At 44.8% G+C, this 17,019-nt stretch overlaps 1 protein-coding gene across 10 annotated transcripts in view, besides 5 other annotated features; it reads left to right on the plus strand.

Annotated features, from left to right (window-relative positions):
* Positions 4,708–4,927: an enhancer, noted in NCBI's record as "active region_11859". NCBI's record gives its function as "activates an Ori minimal core promoter by ATAC-STARR-seq in GM12878 lymphoblastoid cells {active_cell/tissue: GM12878}" and the evidence as "EXISTENCE:reporter gene assay evidence [ECO:0000049][PMID:35858748]".
* Positions 5,474–6,124: an enhancer, noted in NCBI's record as "OCT4-NANOG-H3K27ac hESC enhancer chr17:19550219-19550869 (GRCh37/hg19 assembly coordinates)". NCBI's record gives its function as "activates a minimal SCP1, AML or CMV promoter by ChIP-STARR-seq in naive H9 embryonic stem cells {active_cell/tissue: H9 hESC(naive)}" and the evidence as "EXISTENCE:reporter gene assay evidence [ECO:0000049][PMID:30033119]".
* Positions 6,125–6,774: an enhancer, noted in NCBI's record as "OCT4-NANOG-H3K27ac hESC enhancer chr17:19550870-19551519 (GRCh37/hg19 assembly coordinates)". NCBI's record gives its function as "activates a minimal SCP1, AML or CMV promoter by ChIP-STARR-seq in naive H9 embryonic stem cells {active_cell/tissue: H9 hESC(naive)}" and the evidence as "EXISTENCE:reporter gene assay evidence [ECO:0000049][PMID:30033119]".
* The window catches only part of ALDH3A2 (aldehyde dehydrogenase 3 family member A2), a 29,461-nt gene continuing 19,145 nt past the window's right edge, over positions 6,704–17,019 (plus strand). For 3 of the 10 annotated variants that reach the window (NM_001369137.2, NM_001369138.2, NM_001369146.2), the window contains exons 1-6: positions 6,704–6,833; positions 7,503–7,692; positions 10,115–10,346; positions 11,115–11,200; positions 14,934–15,142; positions 16,313–16,430. In NM_001369137.2, the coding sequence (NP_001356066.1) occupies positions 7,540–7,692; positions 10,115–10,346; positions 11,115–11,200; positions 14,934–15,142; positions 16,313–16,430 (798 nt within the window). In that variant the 5' untranslated portion in view covers positions 6,704–6,833; positions 7,503–7,539. Of the gene's footprint in view, positions 6,834–7,318; positions 7,693–10,114; positions 10,347–11,114; positions 11,201–13,846; positions 13,956–14,933; positions 15,143–16,312; positions 16,431–17,019 lie in introns of those variants that run through there. The other 7 variants (NM_001031806.2, NM_000382.3, XM_047435622.1 and 4 more) reach the window with 4 other exon arrangements.
* Positions 7,089–7,368: a silencer, noted in NCBI's record as "silent region_8297". NCBI's record gives its function as "represses an Ori minimal core promoter by ATAC-STARR-seq in GM12878 lymphoblastoid cells {active_cell/tissue: GM12878}" and the evidence as "EXISTENCE:reporter gene assay evidence [ECO:0000049][PMID:35858748]".
* Positions 7,879–7,928: an enhancer, noted in NCBI's record as "active region_11860". NCBI's record gives its function as "activates an Ori minimal core promoter by ATAC-STARR-seq in GM12878 lymphoblastoid cells {active_cell/tissue: GM12878}" and the evidence as "EXISTENCE:reporter gene assay evidence [ECO:0000049][PMID:35858748]".

Genomic DNA, 17,019 nt, shown 5'->3' on the forward strand with positions numbered 1-17,019 from the left:
GATAACACAGGAGAACATCTAGGTGGCCTTGGGTTTGGCAATGACTTTTTAGATACAAAACCAAAAGCACAATTCATGAAAGAAAAAATTCATAAAATGGACTTCATTAAAATTTAAAACTTGCTCTGTAAAAAAACACTGTTAATAGAATGAAAAGACAAGCCAAGGATTATGAGAAAATCTTTGTAAAAACATAGCTTATATAAAAGACTATTTATCTAAAATATACAAATAACTATTTAAACTCAACAATAAAAAGCAACCCAATTAAAAATGGTTTAAACAGACACCTCACCGAAGAATCTATACAGATGGCAAATAAAGATGTGTAAAGATACTCAACATTATGTGTCATCAGGGAATTGGCAATAAAACAATGAGATACCACTACACACCTATGAGAATGGCTAAAATCCAAAGCACTTACACCACCAAATGCTGGCAAGGATGTGGCACAGCAGGAACTCTTATATATTGGTACGAATGCATGATGAATGGTACAGCCACTTTGGAAGAGTTTTGCAGTTTCTTACAAAGCTAAGCATAGGTCTCCAATAAGCACATACCCAAATAAGCTATTTACCCAAATGAGTTGAAAACTTACATCCACATGTTTTATGTATTTTTTGTATCTTTTATGTATATTTTACCATTTTAATCATTTTAAGTGAACAATTCAGTGGCATTAAGTACATTCACAATGTTGTGCAATCATCGCCACTATTTACCTCCAGAACTTTTTCATCATTCCAAATTGAAACTCTGTCCCCATCAAGCAGTAGCTCTGTTACCATAACCGCTTCCCTTGCCCCCTGCCCCAGCCCTTAGTAACCACTGTTCTACTTTCTGTTTCTATGAATTTGACTATTCTATCATGTAAATGGAATCATTTGTCTCCTTTTCATTTTATGTAATTTTGTCAAACTTCTCTTTTTGTATCTCTTACCTTTTGTTCTCATGCAACTTTCATCTCTATTAAGGTGTGCTTTTCTCTTCTCTTTCTTTCCTGAGTTTCAATTCGAGTTTGCCCTCTCCTGTTTTCTTATAATCTATTCTTTAATCCCTCACAGCCTTCCTTTGGGCTAACTCCTCCGCCCCCGCCCCCAAAGATCATGTGTCAGTGTCTTAAGAGATTGTGAGAATTACACATCAGAATGCTTCATCTTTTGTAAAGATCTTTATCTCCTTTTCCTTAGAGTTATATGCATGTGTGCGTGTGTGTAGTGTCTATGGTCCTGTGTTTGTTCTTTTCTATTATTGATCTGTGGACACAAACATTTATATTGGCATTTGCTGAAGAAGAGTGTTTTGAAAGTTAGGAAAGGTGTCCAAGGCAGTCTGAGGCTTCAATTCACGTCTGTTGTCTTAAACACCTTTCATAAAATCTGCTATTCCCAGCTATGGAAATATGTGCAAATAGTCAATACACATGAAAAGGAACCCACCATGATTAGTCACTAGGGAAATGGAAGTTAACATCACAAGGAGATATCACTACAAGCTGGGTGCAGTGGCCCACACCTGTAACCCCAGCACTTTGGGAGGCCAAGGCAGGTGGATGTCTTGAGCTCAAGAGTTCAAGACCAGCCTGGGCAACATGGCAAAACCCTGTCTCTACTAAAAATATAAAAATTAGCCAGGCACGGGGGCACACACCTGTAACGCAAGCAACTAGAGAGGCTAAAGTGAGAGGATGACTTGAGCCCAGGAAGCAGAGGTTGCTGTGAGCTGAGATCATACCGCTGCATTCCTTTTTTTTTTTTTTTGAGACAGAGTCTCAAAAAAGAAAAAAAAAAAAGAGAGAGAGAGAGAGAGATCACTACGCATCCACCAGAATGGGTAATTATTTTTTTAAATCAAGTTTTAGAAAGCAGCTGCTAGACTGTGTGGTAGGGAATATAAATTGGTATAAAAACACTGAAAAATTATTTGGCTTCTAAAGTTAAAACATGTATTTACTTTCACCCAGAAATTCTATAGTGGTGATTGGGTAGGGGCCTAAAAGGAATGCTGGTAATGTTCTGGGTCATAGATACAGGTAGGTAAACTCTGTAATAATTTACTGTAGGCACTGTTTTGTATTTATGTAGTATCCAATGAAAATGTAATGAAATTTGGGCCAGAAGGCAGAAAGAACTCCTGGGTACACACTCACTACCTTAGTCCCCCTGAGGTTTAAATAATTAAAAGTGTCTGTTTCATCCTTGCCTTTAAGAAAACTCTCCCTGCTGATAACTGAGCAGATCAAAGATCTAAAGGTTGTGGTGGAGAAGGGTCATGGAGTTGATTACCCCCAATAAAAACAAAAAGAAAAACTTGGTTTTTTTTAAGCTGAAAAAGGAGGATGGAAAAGTATAGTGGGCAGGCATAGTAAAATCACTACAGTCTACTGCATTCCTGAAAGGAGAAGCTTGTGAGGACTCACCCCTTACCCCTATAACCTGCTGTGGTGATTTCATTACCCATAGCTACTTAAATCAATGAGTATATCATATTCAAAAGCTGAAGGGAGAATGTTTCAGCTTGGGAGTGTAGTAAAAGAATTCCCAGTCCTCTCTTTGGTTCCATAAATATATCACCTTGTTCTATTAAAGCACTTGGATGTGATTTTTAAATATGCCCAACAAAATGCCATCAGTTGATTTCTCTAACTAATAAAGAAAATGTTCAAGAGTTGGTAGTAAATTCTTGGTGATTATGCCATTAGAATCAGAGTACATCGTTTGTAAGAAATCCTCAGCCCGGCACGGTGGCTCACGCCTGTAATCCCAGCACTTTGGGAGGCTGAGGCAGCGGATCATGAGGTCAGGAGTTTGAGACCAGCCTGACCAACATGGTGAAACCCTGTCTCTACTAGAAATACAAAAATTAGCTGGGCATGGTGGCACATGCCTGAAATCCACCTATTCAGGAGGCTGACACAGGAGAATTGCTTGAACCTGGGAGGTGGAGGTTGCAGTGAGCTAAGATTGCACCACTGCACTCCAGCCTGGGCGACAGAGCGAGACTCTGCCTCAAAAAAGAAAGAAAGAAAGAAATCCTCACATCTTATGCTCAGCAAAAGCAGCAGCTCTTCGCTACTTAGCAATTAATTTGCCCTAGGTGAAACCGATTCCTGTTCTAATTCCACACTGGAATTCTGTTCATTATTTACATTTTTTTTAAATGGAAGCATGATTCATATCTCAATTTACCTAGTTCCTTACACAATATTTATTAGCCAGCATTTAGAACTGGTTACCCTTTCAGATCAGATAAAGATTATTGGGTACACTCTCTGGCGGCCTTTGAGCTGATTTAAATATTGTTGCCACACGGTTCTAGATACTGATATTAGTTGATTGGCTTCCTATGCACAAGCACTCCTCAGTTACTTACATAATTGAATTAAACACTTTGTATATGTTGGAGCTACTGCTTTTGTTATATAAGCCTGCTTGCCTTTTCACCTACTGTCTCCCAACTTTAACTATGGTATTTCCACATGGGCTGGATTTTTTTGTTTTTGTCCAAAGCAGGCAAGCGAGAAGTAGAAGTGAAGAAGAGTTTGATGGTCTTGCCAATTTCCTTGCTTCATCATGAATCTCCTTAAGCTTCAAATTACAGGCTGTTGAGAAAGCCACAAAAGTAGACAGTGCCAAGACACTAAGACTAGAGTATGTGAGAGTGTACCATTCATTCATTCATTCATTCAATAAATACTTACTGAGCACCTACTGTGGGCCAGATTCTATTCAAGGTACTAACATTACAGTGAACATGAACAACAAAGACCCTGATTTTACAAGATATTCCAGTGAGGAAGACACATTAAAAACAACAAACAAATAGATACATTTATATTAAGAAAAATAAAACAGGGTCAGGGACAGAAAGTAGCAGAGACTGATATTTTAGACATGGTGGTCAGGGAAGTCTTCTTTAGGGAGGTAATATTGAAGCAGCAATTGAATTAAGTGAGAATGATAGCTGGACACTACAGGCAAAGGAAACAGAATGAATGCAAAAGCCCCGGGCTGGGAATGTGTTTAGAATGCTCAGTAGTGTACAGCAAGGAAGGCACTCTGGCTGAAACTCACTAAGTGGGAGAATCCTACAAAAAGAGGTTGAAGATGTAGTCACGGGCCAGGGCATTTAGGGCTTGTAGAATATGTGTAGAAAAATTCACATTTTGAATTTTATTCTAAACGTGAGGGGAGGCTATTGGAAAGTTTTAAGCAGTGAATTAACATGATCAGGGTACCTTCGGACACCAATGGCTAGGTGGAGAACAGGCTACAACAAAGTGTTATCAGAGTCCAGTCACGAAAGATAAACTATCTAGTTATTTCATGCAGAGGGAATTTTAAGAGTAATAGATGTCAAAAAGAATAATGGAGTGACATCATAGATAAAAAAGCTGCTAAAAATACCCTTAGCTGGAACCAATGGAACTGCACCAGCTTCTGTGCCATTTGGAGACACTATCACTTTCATCCTCTGTCTACTAGAGAGGTGCCACCTTGACCATGGAAGGAATTCCTAGAGTAAAGAATAATCCCTCCTCCACTTTCACTATAGAAATGGCCAGCAACTGCCACACGATTGAATCCAGAAGCAGTAAGTTACTCTCCACCTCCTGCCTTCTGATTTCCTTATAGTGCCCCCTACTGGCAGAAGCCAGCGGGCACGAGAGCCTGGGAAATGGGGTTCACACACTCTAGGTCCCTGCAGTAGAGTATAAAAGGGCAAGTGTAGAACTGAGAAATAACAATCTCTAGAGTCAAGAGTAGAAGCAGGGGGCCGGCGAGGTGGCTCACATCTGTAATCCCAGCACTTCGGGAGGCTGAGGGAGGGGGATCACTTGAGCCCAGGAGTCGGAGACCAGCCTGGGCAACATCGCAAGCCCTCATCTCTACAAAAAATACAAAAAAATTTAGCCAGGCATGGTGACACATACCTGTAGTCCCAGCTACTTGGGAGGTGGAGGTGGGAGGATCACTTGAGCCTGGGAGCTGGAGGCTGCAGTGAGCCATGATCATGGCCACTGCACTCCAGCCTGGGTGACAAGAGTGACACCTTGTCTAAAAAAAAAAAAAAAAAAAAACCCGAAAGAGTAGAAGCAGGGAAACCATCAGGATGCCCGGCCTGTTTTTTCTTTTTCATTTTTTTCCCCTCAGCTGTGGTAATTTAGCCAATTCAAAGACCTTGTTCTCCATAATTTCAACTTTCCTTCAGATTTGACCAAGTCAAGTAGAGCTGGTCAAACCCAATGGGAAAAAGACCAAAACAACAACAGAAACAAACAAAGAAACAGTTAAGCAAAAGAAATGATCGCACAATTTGTATTATTGAGCGCTCTAATGGTAAGGAGAAATTAAGACCAGCTGGTTGTTAATCTTAACTTTAGTCACCAAGGAGAGTTTCCAAGACAAAACTCCAATTCAGGTGCTTACCTAGGAATAGGGTCCAGGCTCAAGACTGCTCTTTACCATTTTAGAAGGAGAAAAAAAACTCAGACTCACCTTCCCTGCTGGAAGCCAGATGAAATTCCAGAAAGGAGTTGCCTCCCCTCCATCGTCATGGAGGCAGGAAAACGCACCTTCTTTGTTGGGAGTAAGTAAAACTGCAGACAAAGAGGTGTACAGCAAAATAAACTTTAGATCTCAACCAAATTTTGGGACATCAGGGATTCTCTGGAGTGGGGTGCTCCCAGGCCTCAGCAAATTGTCCTGTTTGAGCAATAAAAATAGCCCAAGCTGGTACCAAGCACTGATAGATTTGTCAAAGGTCAGGGCCACCTCCACTGAGTCACTTCCTTTGGCTGCCAGCTTGTAAACCAAAACCAGCTCTCAATCAATTTGGAAGTTTATTTTGCCAAGGTTAAGGACATGCTTGGGAGGGAGGTCTGTGCCTTTATCTAAAGATGATTTTGAGGGCTTCAATATTTAAAAGGGAGGAGCGGGCTGGAGGGGAAAGAGGGAGAACATGGTCATTACTGAATCCACACATTGCACAAATAGAAAAAGGAACAGGCAGGGGAATAGTCAATTATGTATTTGCCTCCTGCTGTGTAAATCAGCACTTCAGTAAGATAAGGTGAGGACAGAGCAGCTACCTGTGGGGACATTTAACCTTTTATCTGTAGCTATCTGCTTAGGGACATAGAGAAAGGCAGTTTCTTGCATGACTCAGCTTTTTGCTTAATTTTTTCCTTTTGGCATAGTGAATTGAGCTCCCACGGTTTTTGTTGTTTTGTACATAAGTGGAGAGTTCATTTGGGCCAGGGCCCCGAGTTATTTTCTTTTCACAAATATACCCTTTAGAGTTCAGAGGAAAGGCTGGGATTAGAGCCTTCTGTGAGCACTATTCATGGGATTACATGAGGGAGTGGCTGTGAAAAGAGGGCCCCGGACTAAGCCCTGGGCACCTGAACAAGTGAGAGGTCAGGAAGGGGAGAAAAATCCAGCAAAGGAACCCCAGAGGACCCGGCCAGTGAGCTAAAAAGAAAAGTGCAGAAGAGTGCAGGGAAATGGTAAAGAAAAGAAAGCTTTCCACAAGACAGGACCGATCAGCTGAGCCAACTGCTGCTGAGTACAGTGATGAGAGCTGAAGTCTCTCGCCCGAAAGGCAATAAGGCGGGAGGGGGAAACCTGAGGGCAGCGGGTTCTCTCTTGGGAGCGGGAACACGGAACCATGGGCAGCGAGGCAAATGCAGCCTGGGGAGAAGCTCTGAGTAACGGACGTGCGAGGATGATGCTTGTGCAAGAAGGAAATGACCGCTGTCCCGGCTCCGCGGGAGACGAACCCCGGCTTCCCGCCCTCAGGGACTAGCTCTCCAGGGAACTGGGACGGTCAGTGCCGGTCGAGGCAGCTCCTCGCTGAAGGAAGGAGCAGGGGACAGGGAAGCGGAATGGGGAGCGCTAGGCCTCCAACTACGTCCATCTGGCCATGTTTGAAGAGCCACAAAATGGAGGAGGGAACCCCTCAGAGCGTGCCAGAGCGGAGACTGCTCTCCGTCGCAGTCGGGGCGCTTCCGGCAGGGCGCCCACTCCCAGCCGAGCGCCCTCCGCCTGCTCCTCCAGGATTCCTCTTCGCCCTTTCTGGGGCCGCCCCGGGGCGCTCTCAGCAGGATGGCCAACACCTTCCCTCCATCCCTACACCCCGCCGCCCCCTGGCCCGTGGCCGCGCTCGGCTCCCGCACTGCTCACTCCACCCCCTACATCCCAGCCCGCTGCCAGAGCCGGGGAGAGGGCGGGGGCCGCGTGGGCGAGGCCGTGAACAGCGGCTGTCACGTGGGCCGCCCAGGCCAATAGGGGTGAGGCTTTGGGTCGAGCTCAGTCCTCCCCCGGCGCCTCCGACTGGCAGTGGGACTCAGCGGGCGTGGAGGTCGCGGCTGAGCGAGCGAGCCCTGGGCGAGTGAATTGTGGCTGTGGGTTGACGGTGGAGACACCCCCCGGAGGGAGGCGGAGGGAAGGGAGGCGAGGCCTGCACCTGCATGCTTCCCGCCTCCCACTCCCCAGCGCCCCCGGACCGTGCAGTTCTCTGCAGGACCAGGCCATGGAGCTCGAAGTCCGGCGGGTCCGACAGGCGTTCCTGTCCGGCCGGTCGCGACCTCTGCGGTTTCGGCTGCAGCAGCTGGAGGCCCTGCGGAGGATGGTGCAGGAGCGCGAGAAGGATATCCTGACGGCCATCGCCGCCGACCTGTGCAAGGTACGCACGCGTGCGGCGGGGTGTGGGGAAACTGGCCCCCGCCGCGCACTTGTGGACTGGAGCTTCGGCTGGGTTTTGTTTTTGCTTTTACATTTCGGATTACTCCAGCACTGGGAGTATGATCTCCAGCGATACAGATAAAGCCAAAGTTCCCGCAGACTTTCCCGGTCCTCTAGCACTCAGAAGGGCATATGTTACCTAGCTTCTGTGGTTCCTTTTCTGCCTTTTCTATTCTTGTCCATTTTTCTGTTACATTTGTGGTTCTTTTCCTTATGATGTGTAGGAACTCTTTGTATATTCTGGATTTAAGTAATTTGTCAGTTTACTGTATTGTGGATACTTTCTTTGGGTTTCTTTCTTTTCTTTTTTTTTAAGCCAAATTTAGCAGTGGGAGAGTTGCATACCAACTTGAATAACAGTAATATTAATAAGTTCTGAATAACCCATTACCATCAGACCAGCCTCTGGGTCTATTTCTTGTCTTTTAGCTTTGTTTATGGTTTCTTTGTTAGACAGAGTTTTGTTTTTAAGTTATAGTTGCAGTCAAATTTTTCTTCATAACTTTGTGTATTATTAGGTCAGTTCTCCTCAAATTTTAATGCACTAACAGTCACCTGGGGATCTTGTTAAAATGCAGATTATGGTTCAGTATGTCGGGGGTGGGATCTGAGATTCCAAGTTTCTAACAAGGTCCCCAGTGATATCATATGCCTCTTTTGGAAGCACGCTTTGTGTAGCAAAGTTTTTATTGTTTTGATTTGTGTGTGTGGTTTTTTTGTTTGTTTGCTTGTTTTGTTTTGCTTTTAAGACGGAGTCTCACTGTGTCTCCCAGGCTGGAGTGCAGTGGTGCGATCTCGGCTCACTGCAACCTCCATCTCTTGGGTTCAAGCGATTCTCTTGCCTCAGCCTCCTCAGTAGCTGGGATTACAGGCGTGCGCCACCACACCCGGCTCATTTTTGTATTTTTAGTAGAGATGGAGTTTCACCATGTTGACCAAGCTGGTCCTGAACTCCTGGCCTCAAGTGATCCGCCTGCCTGGGCCTCCCAAAGTGCTGGGATTACAGGTGTGAGCCACCCCCCCGGCCTGTGGTAGCAAAGTTTTAAGTAGTGTTTTAGGGTGTAAGTATATTCCTGTATGTTTGCTGATAATATTGTTACTTTTTTTTTTTTTAAACGGACAGGGTCTCCCTTTGTTACCCAGGCTGAAGTGCAGTGACTCAATCATAACTCACTGCAGCCTCCAACTCCTAGGCTCAAGCAGTCCTCCTGCCCCAACCTCCCAGATACTAGGACTACAGGCATGAGGCTATCATCTTGTTTTTGTTTTTGTTTTTGTTTTTTTTCTTGAGGCGGAGTCTCGCTCTTTCTCCCAGGCCGGACTGCAGTGGTGCTCTTTTGGCTCACTGCAAGCTCCACCTCCCGGGTTCACACCATTCTCCTGCCTCAGCCTCCCAAGTAGCTGGGACTACAGGCGCCCGCCACCGTGCCCGGCTAATTTTTTGTATTTTTAGTAGAGACGGGGTTTCACTGTGTTAGCCAGGATGGTCTCCATCTCCTGACCTTGTGATCCGCCCGCCTCAGCCTCCCAAAGTGCTGGGATTATAGACGTGAGCCACCGTGCCTGGCCTATCATCTTGTTTTTACTTTTTATCTGCATTACATGTGTAGCAAGGCTTTGCTCTGGGTTTGTGATTTTTCCCTTCCCCACAATCCCCTCAATCAAAGATTATTTTAATAAGTCGTAATAGTGGTAGTACTAGTAGCAACTATGAAATTTCTTTTAGAGTACTTTTGGTGGAAAGGGGCTGTGATATTAAATAAACAAGATGGGGTAATTAAGATTCCAAAAAGTCTGTGTCATTTAATCATACTTGAAGAACTAAATGTTTGTGTGAGTATGTGTGTATATAGGATGACTCAAGAAATACAATAAGTTCCCTGTCCTCAAGAGTTTTAAACTTGACTGGGAAACAGAACATACACAGATGAAATGTGAGTGATAGTTATAAACCAGTGTGTTAAGGATGAATATTAAGATGCAGGTCAAAAGCATGATTGCTGTAATATATAAAGTGTGTTCAGAGCAGACCTTTATTGCTCAAGGAAATCTTCCTGAAAGAGGTAATATTTAAGCCTGGCTTTTAAAGGGTGTGGATTACTAAAGAAGGATTTACTAATGGTATTCGACTAGTGTTACTACTCCCTGAAATAATCTTTGATTTTTTTAAAAGAAATATATTAGAGAATTAGCAAGCCCTTACCAGGGGCGTGAAGGGTGCAAAAGGAGTCTGAATGGCAAACAGCTAGTCTGATAATGCCAGTTGTTGTCACTACAGGTGTACCTGGTGTGAGTGTTCTGACATTCAGGGCCAAGTGTATCATACTTACTCTGCAAGATTAACTGTGATTCTCTTATAACAGAGTGAATTCAATGTGTACAGTCAGGAAGTCATTACTGTCCTTGGGGAAATTGATTTTATGCTTGAGAATCTTCCTGAATGGGTTACTGCTAAACCAGTTAAGAAGAACGTGCTCACCATGCTGGATGAGGCCTATATTCAGCCACAGCCTCTGGGAGTGGTGCTGATAATCGGAGCTTGGAATTACCCCTTCGTTCTCACCATTCAGCCACTGATAGGAGCCATCGCTGCAGGTCTGGTGCCACCTTATGTCTATATACCTTTTTAGGGAGGCTTATTTTCTCATATTAATTGGAAATTAAGGATAGTGGCTAATTAAATACATTTACTTGGTGATTTGCCTTTGTTTACACCACCAGTGTACTGAGAATTCATACATACCATACATATTTTTAAATGGGCTGCTGAGGAGATTTGTGTGGCTATGTTTTGAAGCACCTGGGGAATGAACCTGTGGGAGTGTAAAGATGTGTGAGTCAGCAGGCCCAGGAGTTTGGAGTCAGGCATCCATGTTCTAATATGGTTTCAGTTGCTGGCTCTGGCTTCGGATGAACCATTTGATTCTGTCTGACCAGTTTCTTCATTCAAATAAAGACTATGAGAGTAATGCTAGCTTGGGTATATAGCAAATGCCAGGAGATTAATTTCTCACTTTGCAGGATCCAGATAGAGAGATGTATGTTGAAATGGCTCACTTGCCCAATAATTCCAGGGCAGAGAGGACAATCTAAGGGCAGAAGTGGGAGAAAAGCGATAGAAAGCTGGAGGAGTGGGAAAGGCTGCTGGAACCCATTGTCAGTGACCTGAAGATGAGGACAGCTAAGGAGTTAGCCTTAGAAGAGAAAGTGAGATGAGCTCTTATGCTAATTATGAGGATATGCAGCATTGAGAGCTGCAGAAATAATTGGGAGTACCTAGCCTGTTCTTCCCACTGAACATCATTTTGGTAGCTATTAAAGTTAAATATTAGATGATACTGTTCTACTTTTTACTTTATTTAGGAAATGCTGTGATTATAAAGCCTTCTGAACTGAGTGAAAATACAGCCAAGATCTTGGCAAAGCTTCTCCCTCAGTATTTAGACCAGGTAAGAATTTCTTGACTCATCTCCAACATATGTGTTTACTGTGGAAAACACACATTTTATTTTCTTGCTATTGCATGTTATTGCTGGCCGGGGACCCAATTGCAGTCTCTTTAAGCCTTCAACAGTTGGCTTAGCAAAAGAAGTTCGGTTCCAAAATACACGGAGTGTATTTTGTGTGGAGTCACCCAGCTCTTGGGGTTACACAATATATGTAGGCCCATGGCTTCATGCCAAACAGATTCTGTGTTTGTCTGGGATTTGGGGTTAATTTTTGAGCTAACATGATTTTAGGTGTTTTCATTTAATGGATTATTTAATGAGGGACTGGTACTGTGCTGGGTGCTGACATATTTCTGTTACTAACAATCTCTTTTGTTCTAACAAAATGTACTTTTCTGTGATTATATAAGAGTACTTTTTTTTTTTTTTTGAGATGGAATCTTGCTCTGTCACCCAGGCTGTAGTGCTGTGGTGTGATCTCGGCTCACTGCAACCTTTGCCTCCTGGGTGCAAGCGATTCTTCTGCCTCAGCCTCCCAAGTAGCTGGGATTACAGACGTGTGCCACCATGCCCAGCTAGTTTTTGTATTTTTGGTAGCGATGGGGTTTCACCGTGTTGGTCAGGCTGGTCTCGAGCTCCTGACCTCAGGTGATCCGCCCAGCTTGGCCTCCGAAAGTGCTGGGATTACAGGTGTGAGCCACCATGCCCATGTGTCTGGAATTGGTGGGTTCTCGGTCTCACTGACTTCAAGAATGAAGCCGCGGACCCTTGCAGTGAGTGTTACAGTTCTTAAAGATGGTGTGTCCGGAGTTTGTTTCTTCTGATGTTCGGACATGTTCGGAGTTTCTTCCTTCTGGTGGGTTCGTGGTCTTGCTGGCTTCAGGAGTGAAGCTGCAGACCTTCGTGGTGAGTGTTACAGCTCTTAAGGCGGCGCATCTGGAGTTGTTAGTTCCTCCTGTCTGGAGTTGTTCATTCCTCCCGGTGGGTTCGTGGTCTCGCTGGCCTCAGGAGTGAAGCTGCAGACCTTCGCAGTGAGTGTTACAGCTCATAACGGCAGTGCGGACCCAGAGTGAGCAGCAGCAGCAAGATTTATTGCAAAGACTGAAAGAACAAAGCTTCCACAGTGTCAAAGGGGACCCGAGCAGGTTGCCGCTGCTGGCTTGGGCAGCCTGCTTTTATTCCCTTATCTGGCCCCACCCGCATCCTGCTGATTGGTCCATTTTACAGAGAGCTGATTGGTCCGTTTTGACAGGGTGCTGATTGGTGCGTTTACAATCCCTGAGCTAGACACAGAATGCTGATTGGTGCATTTACAATCCTCTAGCTAGACATAAAAGTTCTCCAAGTCCCCACTAGATTAGCTAGACACAGAGCACTGATTGGTGCATTTACAAACCTTGAGCTAGACATAGAGTGCTGACTGGTGCTTTTACAATCCTCTAGCTAGACATAAAAGTTCTCCAAATCCCCACCAGATTAGCTAGATACAGAGTGCTGATTGGTGCATCCACAAACCCCAAGCTAGACACAGAGTGCTGATTGGTGCATATACAATCCTCCGGCTAGACATAAAAGTTCTCTAAGTCCCCACCCGACTCAGGAGCCCAGCTGGCTTTGCCTAGTGGATCCCACGCCGGGGCTGTGGGTGGAGCTGCCCATCAGTCCAGCGCTGCGCGCCTGCACCCCTCAGCCCTTGGGCGGTCGATGGGACTGGGCGCTGTGGAGCAGGGGGCGGCGCCCATCAGGGAGGCTCGGGCAGCATGGGAACCCACCAGGGGCGGGGTGGGGGCCTTGGGCATGGCGGGCTGCAGGTCCCGAGCCCTGCCCTGCGGGGAGGTGGCTGAGGCCCGGCGAGAATTCGAGTGTGGCGCTGGTGGGCTGGCATTGCTGGGGGACCCGGGGCACCCTCCTCAGCAGCTGGCCCAGGTGCTAAGCCCCTCATTGCCCAGGGCTGGCGGCGCCGGCCAGCTGCTCCGAGTGTGGGGCCCATTGAGCCTGCGCCCACCCAGAACTCGCTCTGGCTTGTGAGCGCCACGCGCAGCCCCGGTTCCTGCCTGCGCCTCTCCCTCCACACCTTCCCACAAGCAGAAGGAGCCGGCTCCAGCCTTGGCCAGCCCAGAGAGGGGCTCCCACAGTGCAGCTGTGGGCTGAAGGGCTCCTCAAGCGTGGCGAGAGTGGGTGCCAAGGCCAAGGAGGTGCTGAGAGCGAGCAAGGGTTGCCCGCACGCTCTCACCTCTCACCCAGCCTATAAGAGTACTTCTGCTTTCAAAAAAGACATGTCTGTGGCATGAAAACATGCCACACATACACAAAAAGTGCCCTCCTGAACTAGAGGGCAGATCCTCACACTGACTTAACATGCTGGCATTTAAGAATATCAAGAACTGAATAAAGAAAATGATCTGCCCAACTGCGGGTAGTTCATCTGTCTGAGTCAGAGGTTCTTATGCCTTCCTGGGGAGGAAGTTATGATGCCGCGAAGAAATTGGCACTGCTGAGTTCTACATGCAGTTGCTACAGGGAGGAGTCTTCATTTAGCTTTAAGCGAAATACAGCTTAAAAATATCTTACCTGTATTCTGTACATCAACTTGTGATGGATTGAGGCCAGTTCTGGTTCTTGGAATGATATTTTTCTCTTTGTTAGAGCCATTTTGTTCTAATAGCTGTGATGATCCAATCAAGAAAGATGAAATGGAAGACAGTGAGATGTCAAGGATTGAATAGGACGTAGAACCAGAAGATAGAGGTTGAAGGTACCGCTTTGCCCCTGACCAGGGGTAAATTCTTCAATAACTGACTCTGTCCGGATAAGGAGGATAATAATGCTCTACCAGCTTCAGTTACCGTGTTAGGGGATCAATAATATATGCTATGTAGATTAAGCCATAGAAAAGTTAAAGCTTGAAACATTTGTTGGGCAGCTGAACCATGAAGTGAATGAAATTAATTCGCCTTCAAGTGGAAACATGAGATCCACAAGCCAGCTTTTACTTCACACTTCCACCTTGGAGTCTTGAATACCTCTCTGTCTTCCTTGCTTGCCATCTGTTCTCTTACTTTTGATGCTGTTATTGTCCAAGATGTTCTCTCTTAGAATAGCTGGTAATGATAGCACAATGCATAGATGGGCTCAGTCCACAGAAGCTACGTGAATTCTCCCAGTAACAGATGAGGAAATTGAGGCTCAGAGATGTTCAGTAGCTTGCCTAAGGTTGCATAAGCTAGTGAGTGGCAGAGCCCAGATTCAAACCAGATACACTTCAAAAGCAAGCGCTCTCAGCTACTGTGCCGGATATACCATTCATTCAGAATAGCGTGGGCTAAGCCCACTCTGTGTTGTGAGACAGAGAACATTCAGACTAAGACATGCATGACCTGTCCTGTGGGAGCCACTCTTCACCAGAGGCACTTCTGCACACACCCGCGTCTCATGCATTTTCCCTGGTCAAATTCAACCATTTGTTCTCCTTAGTGTCTTTGTTGCTGAGCTCATGTAAAAAAACACTGGAGTCTCCAGATTAGTTCTATGTGGGTTCATGCTTCCCAGATGCCATCGGACTGTGTGTTCTCCTCTTGTCCTTGGTCAGTTCCCTCTCCCATCCCTCACAGGGACTGGTCTTGACACTCTCTGGGTTTTACTGAATGTTACATGTTTATGTTGAAGAGATTGCTGATGTTAGACGTTAGGATTTATTTGGCAGTGCAAGAGTTTGTGTTTCTCTTTCTTTGAGGATCTCTATATTGTTATTAATGGTGGTGTTGAGGAAACCACGGAGCTCCTGAAGCAGCGATTTGACCACATTTTCTATACGGGAAACACTGCGGTTGGCAAAATTGTCATGGAAGCTGCTGCCAAGCATCTGACCCCTGTGACTCTTGAACTGGGAGGGAAAAGTCCATGTTATATTGATAAAGATTGTGACCTGGACATTGTTTGCAGGTGAGTCTGGCTCTCTGATTTTCTGAGGTTTTCCCAGCACAATGGAGACTTTTCCTGACAATGTTACTCTTTGTACTTGAACCCCATACCTTATGGCTCCAAGATACATTATTAAGCTTTGGTGGTTGATGTCCTCAAGAGTAACAGGAGTCTTTCACTGTCTCTTGGCGCCACTGTCAAAAATGGTGAGCTGTAAGTCCTGACATCATGTGGTTGTCCTTAGGAATTTTAAAAAAGTTATATCTGTTCTCAAGATTACAGCTAGATCTAGCAAGAAATTTTAACGTTCTTCTGGCCAGTGATCTGTGAAGTACATAATCCAAAGTATTGTGTGTGCCTAATAAAATCTTTAAATGCCCATTTGAGAGGGTATTATGCTGATATCTTAACTGAGATCCTTTGTGGGCAAAACAAGTGTTCCTCATTTTTTAACTGTGAATAACATCTTGCATCTGAAAATTAGAAAATAAGAGGTTTCAGGTTCTCTCTGCTAAATCCGGTTTAGCTACTAAGAAGTGCCAAATCATAGAACTGACTCTGTGCTCTGGGTGGTGTGGCTTTCTCTGCCCTTCAGAGATTCCAGGTCAGGGTTCCAGGTTGGCTTCCTAAGTAGAAATCCATTTGTCAAAACCAGACACCCTCAGTTAGTGAATGTTTAGGGCATGGGTTTCTGCCCATGCATAGGAAAGGTCTTCCCAAGTGGGGCAGGGCTCCACAAAGAGGAGGATGGCCTTGGAGGCTGGCTGACATCCTGCTTTATACCTGAACATCTTGCAGGCAGAGCCAAAAGCCACAACCAGGAGAGTCTGTACCGAACTCTGGTCATCCAGGACTTTCCTTTGGCTGGACTGGAAGAGGGGAAAGGACATTGGGAGGCTGTTTCTCCTCTTTTCCTGCAGCAGGCAATGGCTTCACTGTTTACCAAGTACTGTTTGCCGTGAGCTGGCCTGAGAACTTCCCTGCTATGTAAAATATTCCACCTCATTTGGAAAATACTTTCTAAGTTCCAAACAACTGATTTAGAAATGAGTTTTTAACTTTTTTATAAAAATTGCCAGATAAATATATGAATCTATTTTAGTTGCAAGACATTCAAACAACACAATGTAACAAATGAATATTTGACTGAATTACTGAATTATATAGCTGTTCTGGATGTTTTCCCCTCAGACGCATAACCTGGGGAAAATACATGAATTGTGGCCAAACCTGCATTGCACCCGACTATATTCTCTGTGAAGCATCCCTCCAAAATCAAATTGTATGGAAGATTAAGGAAACAGTGAAGGTTTGTATTAAAAACATCTGATTCCACTGATTTTAATAAGATAAGGAGTCAAATTAACTATTCGCAGGCAGCATCCCCATTTGTTTCTCCCTTCAGGAAAATTTCAAAATCATATGTGACTCAGTGAACTTATTGACTAATATGAAAATGCTATGTGTACCATAGAATATATGCTGGGAGCAAGGTTGCATTGGTGTTAAATCTACTTAAACTGTCTAGTTGATTTGTTGATGATTAGTTGTGGCATATACTTTTTTTAAAAAAGTTAAATAATCGTGTGTCCGTGGTTTTGAGGGAATGTTGCCAACCCTTTAGGTATAATCAGAGAGACTCTTTGGCATATTGGCCATTGCTGCTGAAGGTTATCAGTTTTTGTGTATGTAGAGGGCCTAGGGTGGCCAGTAGTTTGGAGGAGTGACTTAATTAAATAACTACTTACAGTATACCCTTTATATAATTAACAATCTTTCAGCGTGTTTAAAGTAAATATTTGCAGTGAGGGAACCAAGGAAGACTGCATGTAGAGTCCTAAGCCAAGACTTGAAGAAATATAGGATTTAAGTTGGTAGAAAGGAATGGGGGCTGGGCA

This window comes from Homo sapiens, chromosome 17 (assembly GCF_000001405.40).
Source record: "Homo sapiens chromosome 17, GRCh38.p14 Primary Assembly".
NCBI lineage: Eukaryota > Metazoa > Chordata > Mammalia > Primates > Hominidae > Homo > Homo sapiens.